This window comes from Homo sapiens, chromosome 22 (assembly GCF_000001405.40).
Source record: "Homo sapiens chromosome 22, GRCh38.p14 Primary Assembly".
Lineage (NCBI taxonomy): Eukaryota > Metazoa > Chordata > Mammalia > Primates > Hominidae > Homo > Homo sapiens.
The window spans coordinates 17,832,446-17,844,451 of NC_000022.11; the positions used below are offsets into that span (position 1 = coordinate 17,832,446).

Consider the following 12,006-nt stretch of genomic DNA (forward strand, 5'->3'; position numbering starts at 1 on the left):
GGAGAGCAGCTCCTCACGGAGCCCATGGAAGTTCCTGACTGCAGCCGCTCAAACTCAAGCCACAGCCCCATCCCTCAGGGTGCTTCAAGCAGCAAACACTGAGATCGCTGGTTTACGTTTCATAGACGGCCTCGAGGGCACAAGCAGGGCAGTGGACTCATTCTGATATAAACCCATGACCCTGGGAATTGAGAATGGAAAGTCTTCTCTCATCCTGGCCCACTGTCTAGTTAGAGGAACTCAATTCTGTGTGACTGCGGCCTGTCAGAAGCCTCTCAGGAGAGCTGTGGGTGTGGTGGGGGGAGGGGGGACCCAGAAAGGCCTGGACTTAACTGGCTGATGATCAAGGTCTGTGTGCTGGGGTGGGGCGACAGATTCCATTTCCTGGCACTCCTTAGAACCCTACCACGTGCCAATCCCTGAGCAGGACACTGTGGGGACACACAGGGAAATGACGGCAAAGGCACCGCTCACTGCAAAGCCACAGGACAGAGACGATGGGGAAAGGGTGGAGACAAACCTCCAACCCCAGGGCCATCGCTCCTGCCAGCTGCTGCACTGCCAAGCACTCCCCTCACAGCTGCAGGCAAGCGTGGCCGACATAGGAAGCCGCACACCTGTAAGAATGCACATGCCACAACGGACACTACCCAAACCGTAGCTCCTCGCTCTGGCCACCCTCCTGCTGCAGTGTACCCCACTCCTGCCCTGTGGAGGGAGGCAGGACAGGAACAAAACCGGGTTCCTTGCAACCTGTGGGGCTCCAATACACGCAAAACCCCAACATTGCTGCACAAATGGAGATGTTTCTGAGTGTTTCGTGGTCTGATAATTCCCAAAGCATCTTTTTCAGGAGAGGCCTTGCCTGCAGTGAGAGGCCGGGGGAAATCAGCTTTCACGTTAAAGCCATGGCCCGACCTCTGGCCCAACAAAATCCAAGAAGCATCAGGCACGAGAGGGCATCTGCCCTGACCTCCTGCGAGGGTGTGTCCTCTCTCTGCCCAGGCAGGCTCTCCCCTAGCCTGCTTGTGTGTGAGAGGGCGAACCAGTAAATACACCACGATGAGCACTGAGGGGCACTGCCAGGGCGATCACTGCCAGGTGAAGAATCTCGCCTTGTCCAAAGAGAGGACTCCAGCCCTTGTCCTTGGCTCCACGAAAGTAACCTAGACACGCCTGGGGTGCCCTGCCTATGGGGCTGTCACTGTTTGCCGGAGACCCCGGTTCATGTTGCATAGTCTAGTAATGTGATTAGGGTGAGGCTTTGGGTAGCACGGTATCCAGTGACCCGGAGACTGAGATCAACCATGTGGATAATCAATCAATCATTGCCTATGTAATAAAAACTCCAAACACAGGGTCTTAGTATTGCTCAGGTGAGCAATACTCCTGGCGTATCGTCACACATCGAGACCAAGAGAGTACAGCTGTCCTGGCCCCACAGTGAGCACAATGGAAGCTGAGTCTGGTTCCTTCCTGGACTCACCCTATGTACTTCTTCCCTTGGCTCACTGACATCTGTACCCTTTCCCTGTAACGAACCATAACCATGAGTACAACAGCTTTCAGTGAGTTCTGCGAGCTCTAGCAAACTATCAAACCTGTGGGTGATTCTGGGAGACTCCGGAATTCGCCACTGGGGTCAGAAGTGGGGCAGTCTTGTGGGCTGTATTCCCTCTTTTCAGCTGGCCATTTCCTCACTGTGCCACACCAGCTCTGCTACTGGCTGGCTGTGTGACTGTGAGTTGATTATTTGTGCTCTCTGAGTTTGCTCAATGACACATTCATTCATTCACTCGGTGAACATTTCTGAGCACCTACAGCTCAGCCAGTGGACAAAAGAATATACTGCAAGGAGCTCAGGGTAGTGAATCAGCTTCACTTGTTCATTTACCTGGATAAAATTTATTCAATTATCTTCCCCTCACAACGCACTTGCTAGACACTGTAGGGAACACAAAGGTGACACAGAAAAGACTCTTATGCTCAGCTGGGCCCAGTAGCTCACATCTGTGATCCCAGCACTGTGGGAGGCTGAGGTGGGTGGATCATTTGAGCCCAGGAGTTTGAGACCATCCTGGGCAACCATGGGGAGACCCAGTCTCTACAAAAAATAAAGATAAAAATAAATTAAAAATAACAAAAGCTCCTTATTCTCAAGGGGAGGAAAGGTGTACGCACATCATGCTAAAGCGCAGCAGAACACAAGCACGGTGGGCGGAGGGCCAGGAGGAGAGGTCGAAAGTGGGCAAACCTAAGAATCTGGGCCACGGAAAACTTGGCATCTGGATTTTGGTTATTTTTCAGCATTACCTTTATTGGTATTCTTTCTGCCTTACGCTTGTGTTTTCATTAATTTACTTTCTTATTAATGAACAACAATACATAACCTAGTGCATGTCATTTAACACTGTTTGAACATAAAATAAGGCTAAGGATGCATCTATGCTCATCTTAAATCTTCGCTGGGCCAAGGGAAGGCCCCCTGGTTCCTCTTTCCCAGCTGAGCAGCCGGGGCCTGTGCAAGGCTGCCCAGCAGTTGGCAGCAGGGCAGGGCCGCACTGCAGTTCACTGGGAGGGGGCCTCAGCACAGGCCTGTCCTCACCCTGCGCCATGTCGTGAGGATAGCTGCACAGGCACAATGTGGGCACTGAATAGATGCCCCGAGATGAGGCCAGCGAGGCCAGCCCACAGCCGTGTCGCACCAGCTGGTTTCACAACAGCTCAAGGACCACGGGAGCACAGAAGACAGCAGAAAGCAACCCTCACCTCCGTGCATCAGCTGGTTTCACAACAGCTCAAGGACCACGGGAGCACAGAAGACAGCAGAAAGCAACCCTCACCTCCGTGCATCAGCTGCAAACCCAGCCCACCTCCCAGACACCTTGGCGCTTGCTTCTGCAGCTCCCAGACAGGCCACCCTCTCTTCATGAAGGACACAGAGGAACCCGGCAGGAGTTTCCAACTCCTTTCCAGTCCATGATTTTCAAAGGACTAGGGCAGTCTCTGGGTTGGCCCAGGTCCTGTGCGTCACACACAAGATTCACAGTGTGAATTCAGTACCTCGAGGCTCCCAGCACCTGCATCTCTGGAGGAAAGGTGCAGAGGAGGGAGGAAGCTGCAGTGTGGCCGACCCTTTGGACCTTAGCCTGGAAACTTCTTAAGCACAGAGGATCACTATACCAGAAACAGATGCAACACAGACAACTTCTCCCTCCCTCTGGGGAGGCTGACTTTTCAGAACTGCCTCCCAGGAGGGACGGGGTCAGATCTAGTCATCAGGATCACCTTGCCCTCCTCACAGGATCTGTTTTGGCACTGGTGACAACGCACTGTCCTGTGAGATTGCTTGATTGGGGTCTGCCTCCCCCAGGGTCACACTCTCTCCAAGGGCAGGTGCCGGGTCACCACTGTGCTCCTCACAGGGCCAAGTGTGGCCAGGACAGCAGGAATGTGCCAGGGGCTGCGGTGAAAGCCAGGGCAGGCTTACGCTACTTTCAGAGATGTCAGAGGTTGCACCCCGACTGTCCCCCGGTAAAGCCTCCATCAGAAGGTGCTGGCTATTCCAGTTAGAAGAGCGTCCAGCAAAATCCCTCCTTGTCTCAGTTTATACCCAGCTACTCAACTCAAAGCACCTGCTCTGAATTTCCCCCCAGCTGTCTTCTCACTGAGACACTGGCAGACCTAGCATGGGAAAGAAATCCAACAGGCACATGCACTTGATTCTAAACAGACAAGGTTTGCTCCACTTCACGTGCTCTGCAGTCCTCTGCTGTGTCAAGAGGGGCGGATCCGAGGATGACAGTGATTGACGGAGGGCAGCCCTGACCGCGTGCCCGCAGCACAAAGTGCTTCCCATGGGTAGCTCATTTAATCGCACAAATGCTCTAGGTCACGGGGCTGCGCTGCTTTTATAAATGACAAGACCGAAGCCTAAGGAAGTTGGGTCATTTGCATAAGGAGAAGTCGGGATTCCCACCAGGGTCCACACGGAGTCATGCTGTGCCTTCCTGGGTGCTTCTCCCAGAACCCAAGAGTTCCCAGCCAGTAGCCTCTGTCAGGGTGGCTACTGTCAGGAAGAAGGTCTTGATCAAGCTCCTGCCTGCCTGGATGCAACCTGAGAAGTGCAGACCAGGAATTCAAGCAGACCCTACCATGAAAGAGCAGGCTGCTGCCAGGAACCACTTGAAGTTCCTGGGTGGTTTTTTTTTTTTTTTGAGATGGAGTCTTGCTCTGTCACCCAGGCTGGAGTGCAGTGGCGCGATCTAGGCTCACTGCAAGCTCCGCCTCCCAGGTTCACGCCATTCTCCTGCCTCAGCCTCTCGAGCAGCTGGGACTACTCGGCCCGCCACCACGCCTGGCTAATTTTTTGTACTTTTTTAGTAGAGACGGGGTTTCACCATGTTAGCCAGGATGGTCTCCATCTCCTGACCTTGTGATCTGCCTGCCTCGGCCTCCAAAAGTGCTGGGAATTACAGGCATGAGCCACTGTGCCCGGCCCCTGGGTGGTTTTTAAAGGGCAATGGGTAACCATGGTTTTCACTTTTAAATTAACCTGCTCATAATCAGAGGGACTCAAATCCTCTGTCCCGTTGGGCCATGCCCCTAGGTTCCCTTCCCTGACAACTGTGCAAACCCTCTCCTGCTGAGGAGGCGGCTGGAGAAGATGCACATCATGCAGCAGGCTTTACACGGTGGAAATGTAATCCATGCTAAAACTAGCATCCTGCTCGGCAATGGCTCAGGAGCTGCCTCTGCAGGAAAAGGGAGTGAGGCGGGAGGGAGAGAACAGGCAGAAATCCCCATTTATTCATGGCCAGCCCTGAGGGAGCGGCCTTCTCCCACTCGTGGTGTTATTCTGAAAGAGCGGCCTTCTCTCACTTTCGTGTTATTCTGACAGACAGCAACGCCTGCCATCCACTTTTCTGTGACCTCGCCTGTGCCATCAGAAAACATACCTGTGTGTGCTAGCCCTCCTGACTTCTCTCTAGAGCCAAGAATGTGGAAATGCTAAAGAACTTCAGCACGTGGGCACTGCACCAGCTGCCTTTGCTGCCCGGGGCACATTCTTCCAGAAAGGAAGGCAGTCAGGGAAAACAACACAAACATCACAAAGCCAGCCCTCCCTTGGTTTTGGCCCACTGGCCTTTCCAGTGAAAACAAAGCTGCTATTTCCAGGGTCTCCTCCAGGAGACAGGCCCCACCTTGCCTGCAAGGTAGAGGCATGAAGCTGATTAGGCCTGGGCCAAGGGTCTGTGACAAGGCTTGGGATTTATAGGCGCTTGTGTGACTAAACCATGAATTGATTATGAGACTCACCTGGGGGGTCTGTTGGACACTGACATTCCTGGCCTCCACCCCAAACCCACTGAATTAGATACTCCAGGGTGCGCCTAGAAGTTACATTTGTTTTGTTTTGTTTTTGAGCCAGGGTCTCACTCTGTCACCCAGGCAGTGAACTCCTGGGCACAAGCGATCCTCTTGCTTCAGCCTCCTGAGGAGCTGGGACCACAGGAGCGTACCACCACGCTGGCTAATTTGTAGAGACTGGATCTTGCTCTGTTGCAGAGTCTGATCTTGAACTCCTAGACACAAGCAATCCTCCTGCCTTGGCCTCCCACAGTGCTGGGATTACGGGTGTGAGCCACCATGCCTGGCTGCAATTATATTTTTAGCCAAGCATCCCAGGTGATGTTTATTATCAGAGAAATTTAGAAACATTAAAGTGGTGTTTCTCAAATTGTGGTCTTTGGACCACAGCATCACCTGGGAACTTTTGAGAACTAAAAATTCTGGGGCTTTACCCCAGAGGCGCTGAATCAGAAACTCAGCCCAACGTGTTGTGCTTTCATCACAAGCCCTGGGTGACTCTGGCATGGGAAAGCTTGGTTACCAACATTCTCGGACAGGGTGAGCTTGAGCCAAACCCAAGTCCCGGCATCAACCCCGTTTAAGGAAACCAATACAAGGCTGCCTGGCCCTGCCCCTGGCCCTGTGGTGAGGGAGACCTGTGCTGTACCAGGAGAGTAACAGGAGCAGTAACTCCGGGCATCAAGGCTTCGTCCGTGCTTTATACGACTTAATCCTCAAAACAAACCTATGAAGTGCAGCACCTTTGCAGATGAGGAAACTGAAGCAGGGAGAGGTTAAGTAAATTGCCAACAGCTAGCAGGTGGCAGAACTGGGCTTCAAATCCAGGCTTTGTTTGACTCCAAAGTCAGGTTCTGAAACATCACGCTGCTGTCCCCTGCAGCAGAGGCCAAAGTTAAGAGTTCACTGAACTTGTGAAATGAGAGTTCCTTGGCTGGAACGGTTAATGCCTTAAAATGATGCCATTTCTCATCTTCCAGTCTAACATCTCAGCAAGGAAGGACCGACGGCTGGAAAGGCACCCAATTCTGTGCTTGGTGCTGTAGGGAAGACAGAGAAAAACACCACGCACTTCCCGTCCTGTGTCCTACGGCCACCCAGGGAAGTAAGACAACATTTATAGCTCCTTCCCCTAGATGCTTTTTTTTTTTTTTTTTTTTTTTTGAGACAGGGTCTTGCTCTGTCTCACAGGCTGGATTGCAATGGCATGATCCTGGCTCACTGTAACTTCTGCCTCCCTGGTTCAAGTGGTTCTCCTGCCTCAGCCTCCTGAGTAGTTGGGATTACAGGCAGGTCCGGATAATTTTCATATTTTTTGTAGAGACGGGGTTTCATCATGTTACTGCTGCTCTCAAACTCCTGGGCTCAGGTGATCTGCCTGCTTTGGCCTCCCGGAGTACTGGGATTACAGGCATGAGCTACCGCACCAGGCCGGGCTCTTCATTTTTTTTTTTTTTTTTGAGACGAAGTCTCCCTCTGTTGCCCAGGCTGGAGTGCAGTGGCACAATCTGGCTGACGGCAACCTCTGCCTCCTGGGTTCAAGCGATTCTCCTGCCTCAGCCTCCTGAGTAGCTGGGATTACAGGTGCGTGCCACCACACCTGGCAAGTTTTTGTATTTTTAGTAGAGACAGGGTTTCACCATGTTGGCCAGGCTGGTCTTGAACTCCTGACTTCAAGTGATCTGCCTACCCCAGCCTCCCAAAGTGCTGGGATTACAGGCATGAGCCACCACACCTAGCTGGGCTCTTCCCTTTTTTTTTTTTTTTTAAGATGCAGTTTCGCTCTTGTTGCCTAGGCTGGAGTTTGATGGCACGATCTTGGCTCACTGCAACCTCTGCCTTCTGGGTTCCAGTGATTCTCCTGCCTCAGCCTCCCGAGTAACTGGGATTACAGGCGACCGCCACCATGCCCGGCTAATTTTTTGTATTTTTAGTAAAGATGGGGTTTCACCATGTTGGCCAGGCTGGTCTCGAACTTTTGGCCTCAAGTGATCCGCCCACCTCAGCCTCCCAAAGCGTTGGGATTACAGGCGTGAGCCACCGCACCCGGCTCTTCACTTTTAAGAGACTGTTTTTCATTCTGTATAGCACTGAATGCTACTTTTAATTATCTTTTTTTTTTTTTTTTTTTTTTTGAGACGGAGTCTCACCATCTCCCAGGCTGGAGTGTACTGGTGTGATCTCAGATCACTGCAACCTCCGCCTCCCAGGTTCAAGTGATTCTCCTGTGTGAGCCACCGTGCCTGGCCTTTATTTTATTTTTTGATTTTAATTTTAATTTTTTTTGAGATGGAGTCTCATTCTGTCACACAGGCTGGAGTGCAGTGGTGCAGTGGCATGATCTCGGCTCGCTGCAACCTCCGCCTCCCAGGTTCAAGCAATTCTCATGCCTTACCCTCCCAAGTAGCTGGGATTACAGGTGTGCACCACCATGCCCAGCTAATTTTTGTATTTTTAGTAGAGACAGGGTTTCATTATGTTGGCCAGGCTGGTCTTGAACTCCTGACCTTAAGTGATGTGCCCACCTTGGCCTCCCAAAGTGCTGGGATTACAGGCATGAGCCACTGCGCCCAGCATGAATGCTAGTTTTAAAATCTTTTTTTAACTTCAATCTGAGTAAGATGAGGCATGTATTGCATTGCATAGATGCTGACTGATTTCATGTTTTCTGTGCTGCCCTCCTGTCATACCTGCCATAAATGCCAGGGGTTAGCCTTCCTGGAATGTCCTTGCTACATTACATGAACTTGCTGCCCCACTGCCTCTCACAATTTATAAATTACAGTGGAGAAAATGGTGCTGACCCACACTCAGCCCAAGGTCAAGCCAGTAGCTCTGCTCAAGGGTTTATAAATGTGTTTTGACACACAGCATCTCTCACCCTCACTGCAGGGTCAGTGGAGAGAGAGAGTGGGCTCCCCCTCATCTGGGCACAGTGGGGAGAGTGGGGCCTCCATGGGTGCTCTGGATAGGGAAGCAGAGTTCTGGATGAGGATGCACCATCAGTGACAGCTTTGGAACTGCAGACACCAAGGCAGAGGCTGCCCCCGGCATGCACGGAGGAGCGGTCTGTGAGGCAGCCCAAGAATGAATCTAGGCAGAGGGTGTCTGACATGAGGGCTGAGGTGGCGGGTGCAGCTGAAAGCAGCTCGGCCCAGCAAACACCTTCTGGAAAGCGTTCTTGGACCTTAAAAAAACTGCTCTGCTCTCCTTATCCCCACATGTTCCCTTCATCATGGCTAAATCAAGGTGTGTGATTCAAATGCTCTCCAAGGCCACTTGAGGCCTCTGCCCCTCGGGTTTGCAGCCTGTGTTTCTGTCCTGAAGCCCCACAGGACACCGGACCCCCTTTTGATTCTTGGCTCTCTTGATCATCTGTAATCGGCTGAACACTTTGAAGCCTTCGCTGATACTGGAAGCCCTGGGGTGCAGGGCAGTGGATATAGGGAGTCCTAGGGTTATAGCATGCACATCCCCAAAGGTGTCACCCAGCTGGATGTGATTACAGCTCTGGAACTGCCTAAGCATGCATCCACTGGTGCTGCATGCGGCCCCTGGGGCACACATTTTCAGTCCCTTTCTTTACCTACAGGAGAAAAAAAGATGCCTGGGGGACGGACTAGGCCTCCCTCAAGACGGCCCGGTGCACTGGTGGCTGAATCACCCAGAGTCCCTCCCCGTGTGCCCGTCCTTCCCTCTGCTGAATCTGTGAATAACCCGGGGGCAGAGCCTGCCACTTTCCTTCCCAATGACAGACTTGGAGCTGGGGACATGTCAGGTCCTCAAGGAATAAATACTTCCTGAATCTCTGAATTGAGTCTGATGGAGGAGTCCTCACTGACTAGAAGATGAGGCTAAGAACCTAAAAGGGACTGGGGAGAATGGACTGCGGGCAGCAGGAAAGACAGGAGGCCTCCCTTCACTGAGAAGAAACCGAGACACACAGAGGTGAGGAGGCTCTTAGGGCCGTGTGGCGGGTGGGCGCCCTGCAGCCCTGCGTGCTGACCTGCTGGCGACGTCCTCCTCGGCGCCCGTGTCCAGCACGCTGCTCAGGTTGTGCTCGGCCTGAGTCTCCTCCGGTACCTCCTGCAGTGCCTCAGCCTGCCTCAGGGACAGGCGGTAGTTCTCCAGCTCGATCCGCTCTGGGGTGCCCCTCAGTCGCTTGGCGATGCTGGGCTCCTCCAGGCCGTTCACGCCTGAACCTGCGGGACAAGCACAGAAGCACTGCACTGAGGTCCAACCACAGACGGGGCGTGGGGGTGGGGGCTGACACCCAGGCTGCAGGCCCTCCTGCCAGAATGTGGGGCAGGACAAAGGTCAGAGCATTTGCAGAGTTGCCAGAGGCCAGAGAAGGACCCTGGCATGTGAGAGGGAATTTCACTCTGCAGGAGAAAGGAAGGTGGCCCTGTCTGCCCTCCAGGTCAGAGCGTTCTCTCTCCTTCATCACCCTGAACCCGGCCCCCAGAGGGGAGACGCAGTCTCCCCACAAGAGTGACTGGTGGTGAGGGGTGTGGGCCAGACCGCAGGCAGCCAGGAGCCAGGTGCCCCTGAAGCAGCCTTGCCTGAGAAGGGCATCCCCGGTGCAGTCTGCCCCAGGGATCCAGGCCCCCACCAGGTGCCTCCCCCAATGCCTGCCCCGGGATCCAAGTCCCCACCAGGCACGTGCCCCACCACTGAGGGGGCCTGGCCAGCTGCCTGAAGAACGTCTCATGCTGCGGATCTGTCTCCTCACAGTTAGATAAGGCACTTTCGGTTTCATAAGGCCACGTGGGCGATGCTGCCCCTACCGCAGCACCGCTGCTCAGAGGAAGGACACCAGGCCCGACCGCTCACAGAGGTGGCACCCAGGCCTCTCTGCGATGCACAGGCACACTTCCCCATCAGTCCTCCGTGGGCTTCTGAAGCCACGGGGTGCCCTGCCTGCGTCCTTTCACCCTGTGGTTTCAGCATCGTCGGCGATCTTGGCCGGAGTCCTTTGTGTGCACAGGGCGTCACACCAGGTGATTTTAAAATCCCATCACTCTGGCTGGGTGCGGTGGCTCACGCCTGTAATCCCAGCACTTGGGGAGGCCGATGCAGGTGGATCACGAGGTCAGCAGATCAAGGCCATCCTGGCTAACACAGTGAGACCCCATCTCTACTAAAAATACAAAAAATTAACCAGGCACGGTGGCGGGCGCCTGTAGTCCCAGCTACTCGGGAGGCTGAAGCAGGAGAATGGTGTGAACCTGGGAGGCGGAGCTTGCAGTGAACCGAGATTGCGCCACTGCACTCCAGCCTGGGTGACAAAGCGAGACTTCATCTCAAAAAAAAAAAAAAAAAAAAAAATCCCATCACTCCTCCTCCACTACCATTCTTTGGTAAAGAAGCACTTTTCCCATTTTTAACTTTATACTTTCAAGTACTGCTATGGACTCGGATTTTTGAAAATGTGTTTTACAACTGTGCTTTGGTCTCCTTTAACATGGAACAGTTCTGCTGCCTCCCTTATCATCACCACTATTCTCTGTTGACGTCCCTTGTCCTCCTGATCCTGGTCAGAGGAGGCTGTCATGAGTCCTCTGGTGTGTCCCCTGTAATGTGAGTAGCACCGGGTCCAGGTGGAGGCGGGCAACCCCAGGTCAGATTTCCTCATCTTCCAGATGCCTGGCTCCACCAGTAGTTGGCTGAAGGGTCTTAGAAAATTTACAGAACTCCTCAGAGCTCGTTTCCTGATAGATAAATGATGGCACCACCCACCTCCCAGAGCCGTCATGGACACCGAGTGACACGATGCACACATACTCATGTGGGGGTGCGTGTTGACCCTGCACCCCACACACACGGTCACCTTCCTCTTCCACTTAACGCCTGCCACCTGGGGAGTGCCCAGGAAACATGAGTGAAGCAGCAAGTCTGGTGTCCAGTAATATTTCCCCACCACTGTGTGCATACTCCTGGAAAGCTGCATCCACAGGCTCTGGAGAGCGAACAGTCGTTACTGAGAAACAGGGCTGAGGCACAGTGCCATGTGGTAGCAGCCTGGTGTTACCAGACATTTTTTTTTTTTGAGACGGAGTCTCGCTCTGTCGCCCAGGCTGGAGTGCAGTGGCACGATCTCTGCTCACTGCAACCTCCGCCTCCCAGGTTCACGCCATTCTCCTGCCTCAGCCTCCCGAGTAGCTGGGACTACGGGCGCCTGCCACAGCACCCGGCTAGTTTTTTTGTATTTTTAGTAGAGACGGGTTTCACCATGTTAGCCAGGATGGTCTCAATCTCCTGACCTCGTGATCCGCCCGCCTCGGCCTCCCAAAGTGCTGGGATTACAAGCGGGAGCCACCATGCCCGGCTGTGTTACCAGACCTTCAAGGAGGCAGAGAAGGGGCAGAGGTGCTGGAGGGAGCAGGTCATGACTGGGCTGGCATCCTGGCTGGGCAGGTCACCGATTCCTGCAACATTCTAAGCTCTAGGAGACAACGCTGGGTTTTGGCATGCCACATCATACAAGCCAGTGTTGAGAGACAGGTGGTCCATCAGGCAAAACCTGGCTAAAGGAAAGCGGCAGGTGATTCAGCAATTTTTGTAGCACGACAGGTTGTGCACAAAGTGTTTTCTGAAGGCCTGCACTTCTGTTGTGTGCAGTGTTTGAACGTCTTT

The 12,006-nt window shown here is 53.4% G+C and overlaps 1 protein-coding gene across 2 annotated transcripts in view; it reads right to left on the minus strand.

Moving 5' to 3' along the window:
* Positions 1-12,006, minus strand: part of MICAL3 (microtubule associated monooxygenase, calponin and LIM domain containing 3) — a 236,913-nt gene that overhangs the window by 44,797 nt on the left and 180,110 nt on the right. Inside the window, exons 19-20 of one of the 2 annotated variants that reach the window (NM_001122731.2) lie at positions 9,377-9,572; positions 1,890-2,104 (exon numbers count right to left, since the gene is read on the minus strand). In NM_001122731.2, coding sequence (NP_001116203.1) covers positions 2,005-2,104; positions 9,377-9,572 — 296 coding nt within the window. In that variant the 3' untranslated portion in view covers positions 1,890-2,004. Of the gene's footprint in view, positions 1-1,889; positions 2,105-9,376; positions 9,573-12,006 lie in introns of those variants that run through there. The other variant, NM_015241.3, reaches the window with a different exon arrangement.